The sequence below is a fragment of the Homo sapiens genome, chromosome 7 (genome assembly GCF_000001405.40).
Source record: "Homo sapiens chromosome 7, GRCh38.p14 Primary Assembly".
NCBI classification, from domain to species: Eukaryota; Metazoa; Chordata; class Mammalia; order Primates; family Hominidae; genus Homo; species Homo sapiens.
In genome coordinates this window covers 7,903,220-7,921,768 of record NC_000007.14, presented here as the reverse complement: position 1 = coordinate 7,921,768, position 18,549 = coordinate 7,903,220, and the positions used below count along the sequence as shown (strand labels likewise).

Sequence of the window (18,549 nt, the reverse complement as noted above, 5' to 3'; positions counted from 1 at the left end):
TTTATTTTTTATTTTTTGGGGCTTTCATAGAATTGGCCAAAACTTTGAACAAAGCTTAAGGGTGAAAGGAGCCATTTGGCGAAAATGTCTGAGTTCCTGCTTTATATTTTTATTTAAGGACTGTGAAAATTTGGAGTAAAGCAATAGTTCATATCAATAAAAGTTTAATTTATTTTATGTTTATTGAGAAGGAATTAAGTCCAAAATCATCTAAAATTTGGTGGCTAGTGACATCTGAATAATTAATGAAATTAGTTTTCATGAAAATCACATATTTTCTTTATATGAGATGTGATATGATTTTTGACATTTTAAAAGAGCTGTAGGATAAATAATCTATTATTATTGGGGTCAGATTTGTACACATGATAAATATTTGACCTTTTATATATCTGTAGGACTTCTGGTTACAATACTTAATAAAGGTTAAGGGCACTTAAATTTTGACAAGCCCAGATCTTCTATAATGTCTGAAGATTCACAGTACCTTCATTTTACCCCAATTAGCATCCGTACACATAAATATAACTGAGGAAAAAAGAAAAATTTTCCACCTATTTCAGTTTGGTGTTCTGAGTCTGAGATAAGTGCATATTATAGAAAATGACTGCAGGAGAAAATAAAAAACAGTGGCTGAGAGGATATAGAGTCCAGGAATTCTTAAGTATCTGGGAAGATTTTAAAAGTAAATACAAAAAAGAAATTTTGGTGGGCTTTTCCAGAAAGCAAAGTAAGCCAATACATTTTATTACGTATTTATGGTTTTTGAAAATTTTTGTTTTCTACGAACCTACACCAGCTAGAAAAATAATTGCCAACTCTTCCCACAATGACTGATGCCGTTTGTGATGTTGCTACTGGCAGAAAGATTTTCTCAGAAGACTGAAAAAAAATAAAATATAAATATTGTGGTTTTTTATTGTCTTTATGAAAAACTATATTTTTGGCCCTTGGACCTGAGAGATAATTTACATAGCCAATTACAAAAGCTCTCACAGAATGACTGCACACCTGCATTGGGTGAAACCGAAAGAAAAACTCTCTTGTTCAGTAAAGCACCATATGCAAATTGGGGGAATAAAAGGAGCACAACAGCTGGCATGAAAAGAATAGTTTACAGATTCTTAGGGAGCACTGGTCTGGAGGCATTCAGAAGCGTCATCAGGCTGGCAAAAGTGCACTATGCAACTAGGGTAACCTTCAGTATGAAAAAAAAAACAGCTTTTAAAGAAACAGGTAAATGTTATTATGATCAAAGTCCAAAACTCATTGGCATTGATAACCGAGCATTGAGCAAAATGGAAACAGCCGTTAACAAATTCATTAAGAGCCTCTTTACATTCCCACCATCAATTGAAAACATATGTTTAATCTGTACTCTCTTTAATTTATTTCAATTATTATTGGTAGAAAAAAGGTAACCTGCTTGAATATCATAAAGATATGTCAATGACATACTTCTTGTATTTCCAGGTCAGGTTGTGCACACCTTCAGTCAACATTTATATAAAATGACAGCAACCTTTGAAGGCCTAGTTCTTCCTTGAGCAAAGAAGTGATTATTCATCACAAAGGGACAGCTAAGAGGATCTTAGAGGCAATGTTGCCTATGGAAAGAGCTCTTGACCATTCGTAAGTTCAACTCACTCATCTATTAAACGGGGCTAATAATACCTGTCCTGCACATTTGCACTGTGAACATCAAACCAAATCATAACAGGTGAAAGCATTTTGTGATGTGTAAGATGACAAATAAGTGTAAGGAATTGTGATTCATAAGTGAATTCAATAATAGCTATTCTTAGTTTATAGAAATGACAGAAGTCTCAAGTCCCCAAAGAGTTTAATGCAATTATAATTATTTGATCCTTATACTTATTTTGATTAATAATAATATTCAGCAAGAAAGCTGAATTTCCTTTTCAGGCCACCCTCTGCCAGTATTTAAGCTTGCTTTTTATGTGTTTGTGAAACTCACTGAACTCAGCCAAGATTTTAACAGGGAAGTCCCAATGTTGATTAAAATGGCCTATTTTGGCACTTATGTCCTAAATCTAATCGCCAATGACAAGATAAAACGAAACAAACAAAACCAATGTCTCATTCCATGCAATCCCAGAACCCTAAGCTGTTCTCATTCTTGGTCAACTGACCAAAAGACTACCATTTTAGGCAAGAAATTACACAGATCATTGCTCTTCTATGTAAACCTTATAATAACACATTCATAATACACTGGGAAGCAACATCAAAAATATTCAAGGTTCAACTGTGCTTACAGAGTACATTTTGTTATTGTAGCTTTTATTTTTTTCTTTCTAGAGAAATTTACAATTGAGTATCTGGTCATGAAGTTCCTAAAAGCTGTTAGCCATGCAAGTAAGCTTTGAGGTTAGAGGTGGATAAGCCCAGAATAGAACTTCTTTGCCTCAAGTTTTACATGCTTATCATTTGGTAACTAATTTTGCTTTATGTGTGTAGGTGAGTGTGTGTGTGTGTGTGTATGTGTGCATGTGTGTGTATGTGTTGTCTTTTCCTTTTGAGGGAAGAGGCCCAAGAATTGGTGGGCCTTTTTACAATCAATCTGGATAATAATAATAACCATGTACAATGCTTTCTCCCCCTTTCTGTGGCCACTAGTCTTCAAGTCTTGGGAGTCCCTGACCCCCATTCTGTGTTGTCTTTATGTAAACAGGTTTTCTCACTTTGCAAGCTTAAGGCAAAAGGCCTGGCTGGGCCACTTTAGAGACAATTTTTTCATTTGTAAAATAAGCACTCTTGAGTTAAGGCTTTCAAGGCCCCCTTCAGCTCTGAAACACTCATGGCTTGTTAAGCAACACCTCCAAAGATGACCCAATGTCTTCAGTGTATGAGCTTAATAAACTTGCTCATGAAATTTGAGACCTACTTCCAGCATCTATCACAAAGTTTTCCTATCTTCTTTATTGAGTTTTCATTTCTATTTCTACAATTGACAACCATCTAACAACAACAAAAAAAGCCACAACTAAAATAAAATTTTTGCAAAAGGACATTCAATAAGTCAATCTTATTGGAGCTAATTGTCTACTCTGTGGGAATGAATATGGAGTATTTTTACTGTGAGCAGTTACACTTCAAATGACAAATATTTACTGAGATGATCACTGGAATATCTATTGGTGTCAGAGCAGCAATGCTAATTATTAGCTGGCCACTTAAGCTGGCTAGTATCTACTCTAAACTGTTACTAACTGGCCTAGAATGAACTTCAGTTCCCCTATCTGCAAAGTGAGAACTGGGCCACCGATATAGCTCTTGAAAAGTATTTGTAATCATTTTAAGTCTCAGAGGGTGAATGACCACCTGGGAACATCTGAGATTTTGGGGGACGCATTTACTTTTGGGGCCATTAGAGAAATCATTTAGTACTGCAGCAATGATTTAGTTCTGTTGCCCCAAGGGCCCCAAAGAGTTAATGCACTTCCCATAAAGCTCCTGCCTTCTCTGTAAATCGACAAATTTATCAGATGGTGCTTTTGACAAATCAATTTGCTTGACACAGGTGGGCATTTTACTGCCAACATCTATTATAGAGAGAGTACATTGACTCTTCTTGGCTCATAAAGGAATCAGGGGCCAAACCCCAACAGGCATCTACACAGCACTCTGCATCACAGAGTAGTTTGAAATTATTTATGAAACAGAGTTGTTAACTGCTGGGACCTTTTGCTGCCATTATTGTAGTCTCCGATCTTTAGAAGAACAATGCCAAATGGTGGTGGCAGTTACTTGAGAGAGTTGTGATTTTAACATTTCATTATTAATGATAGCTATAGGATGTGAGCACCTATCCACCACCTGTTCTTACACCTCCTTCCATCTGGATTCAGACAAAGAGGGACATTAAAGAAGGTGAATCCTACCTATGTTCTGGATCTGTTCTTCTTGTCTCCTTAAGCAGCATTTTGATCAAATATTACTACTCCCTCCTGAGTCATCAATTTTTTTTGCTACATTTTTCTTCTAAGCCATGTGAAAAACTCCAATCTTAAATAAATCATGTTCTACCTGGATTTTACGGCCTTCTTTGCTCTCTCCATCTCTTTCTTTCCTTTCTTTGCTATGTCTGGGAAAGAGAAGTTCATACTTAACTGTCTTGGCTCCATCACTCATTCACTCCATGGCCCCTGTAGCCTTCTCTGAATGTGGGTCTATCTGTTTTGTTTATTTTATTTTTGAGACAGAGTCTGGCTCTATTGCCCAGGCTGTAGTGCAGTGGTGTGATCTCGGCTCACTGCAGGCTGTTCTTCCTGGGTTCAAGAGATTCTCCAGACAGCCTCCCGAGTAGCTGGAGTTACAGGCAGCCCCCACTACGCCTGGCTAATTTTTTGTATTCTTAGTAGAGACAAGGTTTCACCATGTTGACCAGACTGGTCTCGAACTCCTGACCTCAAGCGATCTGCCCACCTTGGCCTCCCAAAGTGCTGGGATTAAAGGCATGAGCCACCGTGCCCAGCCTGAATATGGTCACTATTTATGACAGCCTAGGTCCTCCACATTTTCAAGAACCTATAAAATGTTTGAAAAAAAATGTTTAGAAAAACATTTTAGAAAAATTAAAAATTGACTGACTCAAATACAGAAGAAAATAGAACATTTTAATTTGTAATAATTTCAAAGGGAAAAAGGTTAATCTCCTAAATTTTTATGACATAAATTTAATATGGAGTTTGGTGCATTTTAATGTTTGCTGTAATATGTGGTTGGATCCTCAGAAACCACTGTGTTCAGGATCTAGAAGAGTTTTAAATGACCCTGATAAGAGATCTAATTGCCAAATCCAGTGGGCGATTTTTAATCCTTATTAAAAAATGAAGCAGCATTGGATAATGTTGACCATGCCCTCCTTTCTCCTCCCTTGGTTTCTGTCATATCACCATCTCCTAGTTTTTAACCAACTTCTTTGAGTACTCCTGCTCAGTCTACTCTGGGGTTTTCTTCTACACCCGGAATTCCATCTTGGTTGTCTTTTCTTGTTAAATGTTTTCCTTGACAATCTCATCCACATCCAGGTTCCATGCCCATTTATATTCTAAGCTCCATCACCGTCTGCACTGGCAGTTCAACTTCAACGGCCCCTGAAAGTCTGCTCCTCCTTTCATAGATCCTGAGTAAATGGCACACTATTAATTCAATGGCTCAATCCAGAAATTTGGGAGTCATCTTACATTCTTTTTTTTCCCCTCTCATCTTATAGTCAATCAATCACCAATTCCTGTCAATTCGATTCCTGCAATCTCTTACATCTGTCCACTTCTCTTCATCTATTAACAGCACAACTCTGGGCCAAGCATGGTGGCTCACATCTGTAATTCTAGCACTCTGGAAGGTCAAGGCAGGAGGATTGCTTGAGCTCAGGAGTTCAAGACCAGCCTGAGCAACACAGCAAGATATCATCTCTCCAAAAAAATAAAAAAATTAGCCAAGTGCAGTGGCATGCACCTGAAGTCCCAGCTACTTAAGTGGCTGACGCAGGAGGACTGCTTGAGCCCAGGAGATCAAGGCTACAGAGAACTTTAATCATGCCAATGCACTCCAGCATGGGTGGCAGAAAGAGATCCTGTCTCAAAAACAAAAAAATTCACAACTCTGATTTTGTCATACCCATGCTTAATCTCTTCAGTGGCTCTCAATGACCCTGGAATGAAGTCCAAAATCTGACCCTGACCCTCTCCATGAGCTGGCTGCTGCCTCCTTTCCAGTCTCATTTCCACCCATTCTTCCATTAGAGAGTACTTCTTTGAATCTCCAGATCATTTCCACAGCACACCACCACCTGCCACCATTACATTGTCTTTGCACTATGGGCCTCATCTTCTGCAATTCCCCATCACACTTTTAATTACTTGTTTAATGTCCATTTTCCCCAGTAAAAAGAGTGCTTAATATTTGTTGGGTACTTTCTATGTGCCAGGAAGTTTCACACATATTATCTCATTTTAATCACAACAGTAACTATGAGGTAGGTTCTATTATTACTCCAATTTTAAAGATAAGGAAACCGAAGCATTGAGAAATTGAAGGCCACACAGCTAGTATGGAGTAAATTAAAACTAAAACCCAGGCAGTCTACATCCAGGGCCCATATCCTATCCACAATTAATATTGCTTCAGTGGCCAGGCGCCGTGGCTCATGCCTTTAATCCCAGCACTTTGGGAGGCTGAGGCGGGCAGATCACCTGAGGTCGGGAGTTTGAGACCAGCCTGACCAACATGGAGAAACCTCGTCTCTACTAAAAATACAAAATTAGCCGGGCATGGTGGCGCATGCCTGTAATCCCAGCTACTCGGGAGGGTGAGGCAGGAGAATCACTTGAACCCAGGAGGCAGAGGTTGTGGTGAGCCAAGATCACACCATTGCACTCCAGCCTGGGCAACAAGAGCGAAACTCTGTCTCTGAAACAAACAAACAAACAAACAAAATATATATATATATATATATATATATATATATATATATATATATATATATATATATGTAGCTTCAGTGAAACAGTAAGGTCTACAAGGGGAAGGGCTGAATCTTGTGTCTCCAGAGCCTAACACAGGATTGGCACAGAATGGGGGCCAACATGAAATTGCTGAAATAATAAATACAATTCAATTCTTAGATTGGCATATAGGGTCCTCCACAATCTTACCCTGACCTACCTCTCCAGCCTCATATCCCGGTACATCTGTCCCTCCTTCCCCATGCCCTATCTTCTAGCCATATATGCAGTTCCAAGAATAGGCCATAGTGGTTCACACCTCTGACTTTTGTATACTCATAATTCACTCACTCCATGTGTTCACTCACTCACTTATTATTCATTCATTTGCTAAACACCTACTGAATGCCAGGCAGACAGAAAAGTCCTGTGATAGATAGATGCTATAGGAACACAGAATAGGGATATTAAGGGGTTTGGACTAAGGAGTCAAGAACATCTCCCAGGAGAATTAACATTAAAAGTGAATTTCATTTCCCTAGCATGTGCATATCTGCATGGCAAGCCCTTATTCATCTTTTGGACTTCACTCAAATGTCTCTTCCAGGGCTCTCTCCAAGGCAGAACTTGCAGACATTGTATTGCATGTGACCTCCCCCATCACCCCATCAGATTACGAGATCCTCTTAGCCTCTTGGTGCGTATCATGTCAGTACAGTGGGTTCCTGGCACAGAAGAGGTACCCAATAAAGAACTGATGAATGACCAAATAAAATAACGGTCCTTTTTTGTGACAATACTCCATTTTAACTCATTGTAAATATCTTTGCACTTACCTGAAACCATGGAATTGGGGCTTCTGTTCATTTACAGAATAGATATATTTTTAACATATAAATGAGAGAGATTAGGGAACACCTAGCACCACTATATCATTTTATTTTAGACGTGGATATATAAATTATGTAAAATAGCAATGTAAACATACACACACACACACTCACATACTTTTGTCAATTTAGTGACTAATAACTTGAAGAAATAAGAATTCCCACTATAAGGCATATTCTCCTGAAAGCTTTGGGCACTATGGAGAATACTACATGACAGAATGCTAGTATACTTTCTGAAAGACAAGATGATCCTAATGATTTCCTCATCAATGAAAAAGGACTTTTTCATTATTAGAAATGAGCCCCAAAGGTTAGGCTGCTAATGTGTTTTTGTATACGTGTGCAAATAAATGCCATAAATAACACTTTGGACTAACATCAAAGCACACTTCTGTCTCACTGCTCTTCTTTTTGGGGTGGACATTTGAAGAGGTTCTTTGAAAATTATAACGAGATACAAACTTACTCCAGTGTCCCCTTCTCTACTAATACATGAAGGGCAGCTGTGACTGGCTTTCAGTGGACCAAAGCTCTTACAGGAGTTGCTTAGGGAGAAGCCTCACATTCTGCAATCCTGTTTCTATTTGAATGTGGAAACCTGAGCTACCTCTCCCTCCATTCTCTCCTGCCCTCCCCAACTCTCTCCCTCTAGACAGGTTTCTAATCTGTCCAGTGAGTAGCTGGAACTACAGCAGGAGTCAGTAAACTTTTTTGGTAAAGGTCAAGATAGTAAATATTTTCAGCTTTGGACCACATGGTCTGTGTTGCAACTATTTAACTCTGTTATTATAGTGCGAAAGCAGCCACACAGAATATGTAAACAACGGGTACGGCTGTTTCTCAATAAAAATGGGCATGCCTATTTTCCAATAAAATTTTATTTATGAAAACAGGTGGTGGGCCAGATTTGGCCAGTAGATCATAGTTACAGACTCCTGGACTAGAAATATTCTAGGATCCCTGTTAGCTTTTCTCTGCCTTAGTATTCAATTTTCATGAGTCTGTGAGAGTTCACAATTGGGAGACAGCTGGAAAAAAAGAGAAGCATACTTTGAAGAATCATTGGCTGTGTGAAATTACTATATTTGACTTATCTTTTCACTTGGAGTCTTTTAACTTTGTAGCATAATGCCCCTATTATATTTAGCAATTAGAGTGCCATCACAAAGTAAAATGTAAAACCATTATTCCTTGAAAAGAGAAAAGGCTTGTGGTATGAAATGATGCATGCGAGGAGTGTGGGTGATAATTTACTCATATAATCATTTCTATTTCTGTTCTATGGCAAGTATTTCTGGAGATGGCTCAGATGGCAAGGAGATCTTTAAGACGTGCATGCCATAATTAACCTTTTTATGTGTTCTGATAGAAATATCAATAGTTTTTCCTCCTTTAGCACTTTTAACTTTACTTATGGTGTATAGAGATGATTTGAAGAATAATCATTATAAGGGAAAAAACGCCTTTATATCTTGGGTTTAAAATAAAACATGTATATTCTTCCTATTATTTTTACTTTATGGATAAGTTCTAGACACTGAACATCTGCATTTCTTTTTGCCTCCTTGCAAAGGAGGAGCTAGCCCAGCCAATGATTCTGTAGAATGTAGATCCACGATGTACGAAGTGTAGTCCCTGGACTAGCAGCATCAGTATTTGCATCAGCATCTACTAGAAACTTGTTAAAAATGCAAATTCTCCAGTGCCATCCCAGACCTACTAATTAAGAAACTCTAGGAGTGGGCCCAGCAGTCTGTTTTAGCAAGCTCTCCAGGTGATTCTAATGCCTGCTAGAGTTTAAGAACCACTGGTATAGCTTAGATTATTACCTTACAGAAGCACAAGTTAAAGGGAAGACCTGGCCTCATATAATCAGCAGAATGACCTTAGAGCCTGGACATTCAGAAGGCACAGAATACAGGCGATAAGCCTATAACTACATTACAAGAAGAAAAAGGACCTGAGAAAGAAAAACAAAGGGAAGAAGGGAGACATAGAACTTGAATGAGTAGGAGGAACTGGAAAACTCCAGGGTTCCATTTGCAGCTGTGGCTACAATCCTCCATGATTTGATGGGTGAGGACTGTGCTAGGTGAAGGGAAACAGAAATGAAGAGAACAGTCTCTCCATCCGCAAAGAATTCACAGTATTAGAGTGGAAAAAGAAAAAAATGGCTCCCTTGAGAATTTACAATAGACCTAATATTTTAAGTCAAAGGAGGCTGGGCGCAGTGTCTCATTCCTGTAACCACAGCACTTTGGGAGGCCAAGACAGGAGAATCATTTGAGCCTAGAGGAGTTCTGGACCAGCCTGGGCAACAGGGCAGAACAATGTCTCTACAAAAAATAAAAAAATTAGCTGGGCTTAGTGGTGTGTGCCTGTGGTACCAGCTGCTTGGGAGGCTGAGGTGGGAGGATGGCTTGAGTCCAGGAGGTTGAGGTCACAGTAAGCCATCATGTCGTCACTGCACTCCAGCCTGGGTGACAGAGTGAGACCCTGACTCAAAAGAAAAAAGGATCAAAAGAGAGAGGTTGGACATCAGGAGACATAGAGACAAGATGAAGAGAACAAAGAAAATAGAAGATATGAGGATAAACAGAGTATTAAAAAATTTTATTTGTACTAGAACATAGAACATTTAGGAAATTTGTTCTTTTAATTCCTCCAATTACTAAAAGGTGAGCTCTGCTTTGATTTGGAGATAAAAATCCCTGACTCATTGCTTCACTGGACAGAACCACAGGAGAATTGCAACCAAAAGCCTTTCATTTCCTTACGATGCTTATCGCCAGCAAATAGCTATAGTAACACACTGACATAAACCATTAAGCTATGTATGGGTCGGTGCTATTTAAAGAATGTTTGCTTCCCCACCCAACCCCATTCTTATGTTGAAATCCTAACCCACAATGTGATGGTATCAGGAGACATGGCCTTTGAGAGGTGATTAGGCCATGAGGTAAGAGCCCTCATGAAGGGGATTAGTGTCCTTATGAATAAGAGACCCCAGATAATTCATTTGCCCCTTCCACCATGTAAGGGTGAGAATGCAGCTATCTATAAACCAGGGAACAGGCCCTCACCAGACACTGAATCTGCTGGTGCCTTGATGTTGGCCTTCCCAGCCTCCAGAACTGTAAGAAATAAATTTCTGTCGTTTATGGTATTCTGTTATAGCAGCCTTAATGAACTAGAAAAATAAAAAAGAAAACAAAACAAAACAGGAACATGTTCTTATGGTAACACAACCTGGTCATTTTTCAAGTCCTGCCACAGAGTATCAATCTTGGAGCCTCATCATAAAATCATTTTTGGGTGCCTAAGGAGAATGTTATAGGTGAGACAGTGCTATTAAAAAAATAACACCAAATCAAAGATCATAGAGTTTTCTGGAAGATTTTTAGAAGTCATCTTTTCAAAACAGCCTCCAATGTTTTAAAAAATGACTTCACTATTTTAGTAATATATATATATATATATTTTTAAAATTCAAACAATACAGAAAAGCACAAAGAAAGAAGTAAATTACTTCCCAAAGTAAAGATTACTAACATTTGGTGAATAGAATCCATAAATACAAATAGAAAGCTAGACAATTAGGAGCAGTTTCAGAGAGAGAGATTGTATGGTACATGCTATTTTTTAAAACAAAATTTTTATTTTTGAATAATTTTAGGTTTATGGAAAGGTTGCAAAGATAATACAGAGCGTTCTAGAGCTCTCAACCAACTTCCTCTATTGCTAACATCTTACATTACTATGGTACATTTGTTACAACTAAGAAACCAACACTGGTACATTACTATTAACTAAATTCCAGGCTCTTTTTAAATTTCACCAGTTTTTCTACTAATGTCCTCTTTCTGTCCCAAGATCCACATTGCATTTAGTTGTCAGGTATTCTATTAGGACTCTCCAAAGAGACAGAACCAATAGGGTAAATGGGTATATGCAGAGACAGAGAGACAGGAGTTAATTCTAAACCTAAGAGTCATGTGACTATTAGGCATTCCATTTTAGAATAAATTGGAAATAGAGTTACAGCCAGAGCAGCACAAGTAGCTAAGAAAGCTCAGAACACCAAAGTGCCAGTTCAACCCAGGGAAACAACAAATGTCAACAAACAACTGAAACCTACTGCTTCTGTGAAACAGTACAGATGGAAATGTTGGCTCCAAAGGGTCCTTCTCCCATACCTGAGGATGCCTCCGTGAAAGAAGAGAACATCTGCCGAGCTTTTTCTGATGCTTTGCTCTACAAAATTGAGGATATTGATAACAAAGATTGGAATAACCCTCAGCTCTGCAGTGACTATTTAAGGGTATCTATCAGTACCTCAGGCAGCTGGAGATTTTGCAGTTCATAAACCCACATGTCTTAGGTGGATGAGATGTAAATGGACATAAGCATACCATCCTGGTAGACTGGTTGGTGCAAATCCACTCCAAGTTTAGGCTTCTTCAGGAGACTCTGTATGTGTGTGTTGCCATTATGGATTGATCTTTACTGGTTCAGCCAGTTTCCCAGAGGAAGCTTCAACTAGTTTGGATTACTGCTCTGCTCTTGGCTTCCAAGTATGAGGAGATGTTTTCTCCAAATACTGAAGGCTTTGTTTACATCACAGACAATGCTTATACTAGTTTCCAAATCCAAGAAATGGAAACTAATTTTGAAAGAACTGAAATTTGAGGTGGGTGGACCCTTGCCACTACACTTCTTAAGGCAAGCATCAAAAGCCGGGAAGGCTGATGTTGAACAGCACACTTTAGCCAAATATTTGATGGAGCTGACTCTCATTGACTACGATATGATGCATTATCATCCTTCTAAGGCAGCAACAGCTGCTTCCTGCTTGTCTCAGAAGGTTCTGGGCCAAGGAAAATGGAACTTAAAGCAGCAGTGTTATACAGGATACACACAGAATGAAGTATTGGAAGTCATGCAGCACGTGGCCAAAAATGTGCTGAAAGTAAATGAAAACTTAACTAAATTCATCGCCATCAAGAATAAGTATGCAAGCAACAAATTCCTGAAGATCAGCATGATCCCTCAGCTGAACTCAAAAGCCATCAAAGACCTTGCCTTCCCTCTGATGGGAGGGTCCTAGGCTGCAGTGGCCCCTGGGAATGTGTGCTTCATTTTTGCACTTTTTCTTACTGGGTTAGAACTCTTAATTTTATACATAGTTCTCTGGTCTGTTTCATGAAAACTCTTCTCAGACCAATTTTCTAAATATATATCGAGGAAAAATTAAGCTATTGGTTTTTCTTAAGGTAAAAAAAAAAAAAAACAACAATATACCAATTTATCCTACTAGAGAGATCCTAAAAGAGATTTATTATAAGGAATTGGCTCATGCAATTATGGAGGCCAAGAAATCCCAAGATCTGCAGTTGGCAAGCTGGAGACCCAGGGAAGGTGACATGTATTTCCAATCTGAAACTTAGCAGGCTGGAGACTAAAAAAACAGCCAATGTTTCAGTTTCAAGTCCAAAAGCCAGAAAGAAACTGGTGTCCCATCTCAAAGCAGTCAGGCAGGAGGAGTTCCCCCTTACGGAGTCTTTTTGTTTTATTCATGTTGTCTTCAAAGGATAGGATGAGGCCCACCCATATTATGGAAGGCAGTTTGCTTTACTCAGTCTGCCTATTCAAGCATTAACCTCATCAAAAAACACTGTCACAGACACAGAAGATTAACGTTTAACCAAATATCTGGGCACCCCGTGGCCTAGCTAAACTGACACATAAAATTAACCATCCCAAGTATACATACTATTTTCAATCTATTATGTTAATATAATATCTGACTTGCCAGATCATGCCGTGTCACCCTTCACTTTAAATGTGCAAGCAGATAGCTCTTTAGATGCCCTATACTTCTGTCCCCACCAGTTCAGCTGGAAGTTTTCCATGATTCAATTTGGGTGTTTGAACCCAAACTTTTTTTAATTATATAATTTAAATAAATGTTAAGAAAACTGACAAAATATAAATGCAAAAAGAACAAATTTTTGTTTCCATACAAACTAGATTGAGTATGTTAGAAAGACTGGATAAATATAGGGTGATTAAAAATTTGCTTTCGGGGTGGGTGCAGTGGCTCATGCCTATAATCCCAGCATTTTGGGAGGCCAAGGCAGGAGGATTGCTTGAGCCCAGAAGTTTGAGACCAGCCTGGGCAACACAGCGAGAATCCTTCTCAATTTTTTTTTTTTTTAGTTTGCTTTCAAAATAGCTGTGAGCATGATGCATGACACATAGGGGGTTGGGGGAATCTAGGAGGATTCTACACTCAGTTCCTTTCCAAGTGTCTTGTTTCATTTTTTAAAAATTGAAAACTGATAATCTTAGAGAGTGGTAGGTAATTCATGCAAAAAAGATGGTGAGGGGGAATTCCAATCAGGGGACCACTCTCAAAGAAAAGATCTTGGCCCCAAATTAAAAGATTGGCAAATGGCAAATGACTATATATAATTCATGTTAAATATGCCATTGGGGAATGTATTACTCTGTTTTCACACTGCTAATAAAGACATAGCCAAGACTGGGTAATTTACAAAGGAAAGAGGTTTAATTGACTCACAGTTCCACATGACTGGGAAGGCCTCACAATCATGGCGGCAGGCAAAGGAAGAGCTAAGTCATGTCTTACATGGCAGCAGGCAAGAAAGCTTGTGCAGGGGAACTCCCATTTATAAAACCATCAGATCTCATGAGACTTATTCACTACCATGAGAACAGTATGAGGGAACAGCTCCCATGATTCAATTATCTCCACCTGGCCCCGCCCTTGAAACATGGGGTTTATTACAATTCAAGGTGAGATTTGGGTGGGGGACACAGCCAAACCATATCAGGGAAGATGAAAAAGTGCTGGAGATGGAAAGTGGTGATGATTGCACAACAATGTGAATGTAAGTAATCCCATGGAACTGTATACTTTGAAATGGTTAAAATGGTTAAAATGGTAAATTGTGTGTTACACATATATTATCACAATAAAAATACGCAAAGTAACTGTGTATTTTTTCAGATTCCTTGTTTCAACAAATACTTTTTTATTAATGAAAATTGTTGCATTCTATAAACAGGCTTATTCTGTATTAAGTTTATTTTTTATTTTAGTTTAATAGGAGAAAAGGACACCAACATGAAGCTGAACGAATTTCAGGTAAATGATTCCCTTTTGAGATTTTAAGAGATTTTAATTCTCTAACATTGCTCTAAATGTAATAGGACAGATGTGAAAACCTGTAAGAAGTTAGAGCAGTGGTTCTCAATCCATGGCAGTGCCAATTCCCTAGGGTGCATCTAGAAATGCATGGACATGTTTTTGGTTGTCACAATTATGAGGATCCTGGCATTCTCCAGAGATGTCAAACATCTTATTATGTACCTGACAGACCTGACATCAAAACATACCCAACCGAAATGTCAATAGCTCCCCCAGTGACTCTGGGGAAGAGTCAATGTATGTTTTATTTTTATTTTTTCTAATAAAATCCAATCTAGGATTCAAAAGTTTATTAGAATAAAAATATATGTACATTACAGTTATTTCACATAATTCACAGATTTTACCACCATTCATTTTTAAATGATTTTAAAGTTCATACTGTAAATATATGCACATCTATAAACAAATCTTAAATTACAAAATTTGCAACGTATCTATTAGATATTGAATATGAAAATTTAGGATTGGCAACTGATAGTTATATCCTACTGCACTTACTATTTCTATGACATTTTAGAGGGGGAAAAGATTAATTCATTTTAAATGAAAAATATATTTCACAAATTTGTGTATCACCCTGTGTGTGCAGGAGCTATGCTGGTCTTCTCTGTATCATTCCAATTTTAGTATATCTGCTGCAAAACCAATCAACATATTTTAAAAATTATATTTCAATTTTTTACAATATCTGACAACCTCCTTATGAAATTTGATAAAAGAGACATCATTTCACTTTCTTCCTCCTCTCTCCCTCTTCCAAATGCATTTTATTGGTTATATTATTCTTCATAACATCTGGGGTTTTAACATTTACATCTTGTTCTGAAACCGTAATTCAAACCACTGTTTACTCTTCATTTCTATTTTAAATAATTTGGTGTTCATCATCTAACTTCTCTGTGCCTGGCTTCTCCATTTTTATACTCTTTGATTCGTCTACTTAGTTGCCTAGATTTTATTATACAAAAGTTTTAAATTTACTTATTTTTATTCTATAAAAGGCTCATGGATTCTTATTTCTTTACATTCTTTAATGCTTACTATCCATCTGTTGCATTTATCCTTAGGAGGATAATTTGGGCTTAAAATTTTAAAGCCATTCACTGTCTTCCTCATAACTTTGTAGATACTGCTGCATTGTCTTTGGCTTGGAAGATGGTGTGGAGACATCTGGGGTCAATCTTATTTTCTCTTTCATAAGTGACTTGTTTTTTGCTAGTATACCCATACTACTATTATTTTTAAAGCATTTCCCTTTATTATCTCAAATGTAATATATTTGATACCTATACAAGATTAAATATAAAATATGTAAATTATAATCAAAATAAGATTTCAGCTTTTAAATAATTACTCAACTGAAGAACTAAAAGAATCCCCAATAGCACTGCATCTACCTGTGGATTCCTCCTCTGTCCCATGTGCCTCTTCGCCCCCTGAGGCAGCAACTTTCCTGTATGGTTATCCTTCCTTTCAATATCCATATGGTTTTGTCATGTAAGTATGTATTCCTAAAAAATATACAATATTATTTCATTTTGCTTATTTTTAAGTTATACAGAAATGGTATAATACCATATATTGTCTTTTGGAACTTTTTTCATTCAACTTACTATTTAAATTTTTACAGACTCATGTTGCATTGTGTTACTATAGAGTACTCACTTTTAATAGCATTACTGATACATAATTTAAATCATCAAGTTCACCTGTTTCAAGTATCTATTTTAATGGCTTTCAGTGTATATACAGAGTTGTGTATTCATCACCATCTTCTACCTTCAGAGTATTTTCATCACCCCCAAAAGAAATCTTGTGCCAATTGGCAGTCATTCCCAGTATCCCTCTCCCCTCCTTCCCTATCCCCTGGCCTGACTTTCTGTCTTTATTGATTTGCCTCTTTTAGGCATTTCATATAAATGGAATCATTCAATATGTGATTTTCTTTCATTTAAAATAACATTTTGAGGTTCTTCCATGCTGCAGCATGTATCAGTACAATCATGCATCACTTAAGAACAAGGATATGTTCTGAGAAATAAATTGTTAGGCAATTTCATTGTTGTGCAAACATCACAGAGTATACTTACAAAAACCTAGATGGTATAGCCTACTACACATGTAGGCTATATGGTATAGCCTATTTGCTCCTAGGCTACAAACCTGTATAGCATATTACTGTACTGAATATTGTAGGCAACTGTAACACAATGGTAAGTATTTGTGTATCTAAACATAGAAAAGGTACAGTAAAAGTATGGTACTATAATCCTCCCGGACCACTGTTGTATATGTGGTCCATTGTGACAGAAACGTCACTATGTAGCACATGACTGTACTTCATTAGTTTTTATTGCTGAATATGATTCTACTGTATGGCTACACCACATATTGCTTATCCATTCATCAAAAACATTCATTTTTACTACTGTATAATATTCCACCAAGTAAATATTCTACAATTTATTTAGTCTCCTGTCAAAGGATGGAGATTTCAGTCATTTCCAGTTATTTTTTCTTTTGTGAATTGTGCTGCTCTGAACAAGTTCCTAGGTAACCATGGGTAATAGTTTCTCTAGGATATATATCTAGGAGTAAGTTACATTCATTCTCAAATTTATTGGATAAGGCCAAATTGTTTTCTGAAGCAATTATACAAGTTTACCTTCCCGACAAAGGTATATAAGAGATCTTGTTAACCCCCATCCTTTCCAACACTTGACATTGTCCAATTTCTTAATTTTTGCCAATTCTGGGTATAAAAATGGTGCTTCACTTCAGTTTTAATTTGTATTTCCTTTATTACTGATGAGAATGAGCATCCTTTTATATACTGTCCATTCACTTTTCTCCTTTGATATGCCTGTTACCGTGTTTTGATCATTTTCTATTGGTTTTTCTCAACTGATGTGTACATTTTTGTTGTAACTATAAACTTTACCTTTTTTATATTACATTTTAAAACTGTCCATGACCACTGTTTAGAAAAGCAGTTGGGGAATGCACCTTCATTTTACACTGAAGGTTGCATCTCCCTAGTTTGCAAACTGTTCACTGGAATATAGTCTCTTTCTTCCACATTCCTTTTCAGAGAACTCTTGTGCAGGGGCTGTATCTCATATACAATGGTGAGAGAAGACTGCATGTTACAGACTAATACTTATAATTTCTATGAAGTTTAGAAAAATGCAAAACGTTGCAATTAGTATAGGTTGTTTAGCAATGTACATCTCTGTAGCAGAATTTTATAGAAAGTCATGGCGATTAGAAGTATCAGTGTAATGTAGGGGTTACTTCTGGGAAGGGAAGGGGAAGTGGTATCAGGGGAGTGGGATCAGGTATATGCAGGGGGATACAATGGTATCTTTAATATTTTATTCCTTAAACTGGATGATGCACATATGAGTGTTGGTTATATTTCTCTTTCTATATTTTCTGTCTTTTTTTTTTGAGATACAGTCTCACTGTCACCCAGACTGGAGTGCAGTGGCACGATCTCGGCTCACTGCAACCTCCACCTCCCAGGTTCAAGCGATTCTCCTGCCTCAGCTTTCTGAGTGGCTGGGATTACAGGTATGTGCCATCATGCCCGGCTAATTTTTGTATTTTCAGTAGAGACAGGGTTCACCATGCTGGCCAGGCTGATCTTGAACTTCTGACCTCAGATGAACTGACCGCCTTGGCCTCCCAAAGCGCTGGGATTACAGGCAGGAGCTACCATGCCCAGCCTGTATTTTCATTTAGCCAACATGTTGTCTAACATTTTTCTGAAGGGCAGAGATCATTGTCAACTCTTGTCTATCACTCCCACATCCAGTCAGTCACTCTACAAATTTTGCCTCTTAAGTAGTCCCTGGGACTGTCCCCTCCACTCCATCCCTACCGCCCCTTAGTGTGGGCCTTCATCATCTTTACTTGGACTATAGCAACCACCTCCTACCTCCAG

At 37.8% G+C, this 18,549-nt stretch overlaps 1 long non-coding RNA gene and 2 pseudogenes across 2 annotated transcripts in view, besides 1 other annotated feature; 2 read left to right on the top strand and 1 right to left on the bottom strand.

Moving 5' to 3' along the window:
• Positions 1 to 18,549, top strand: part of LOC124901586 (uncharacterized) — a 52,554-nt gene that overhangs the window by 1,453 nt on the left and 32,552 nt on the right. The window contains exons 2-3 of one of the 2 annotated variants that reach the window (XR_007060206.1): positions 1,474 to 1,632; positions 14,492 to 14,537. This is a non-coding gene — a long non-coding RNA (uncharacterized LOC124901586). Of the gene's footprint in view, positions 1 to 715; positions 1,633 to 14,491; positions 14,538 to 18,549 lie in introns of those variants that run through there. The other variant, XR_007060205.1, reaches the window with a different exon arrangement.
• Positions 1,143 to 1,192: an enhancer, noted in NCBI's record as "active region_25650". NCBI's record gives its function as "activates an Ori minimal core promoter by ATAC-STARR-seq in GM12878 lymphoblastoid cells {active_cell/tissue: GM12878}" and the evidence as "EXISTENCE:reporter gene assay evidence [ECO:0000049][PMID:35858748]".
• CCNB2P1 (cyclin B2 pseudogene 1) lies at positions 11,314 to 12,642 on the top strand (annotated as a pseudogene).
• RNU6-534P (RNA, U6 small nuclear 534, pseudogene) lies at positions 15,145 to 15,250 on the bottom strand (annotated as a pseudogene).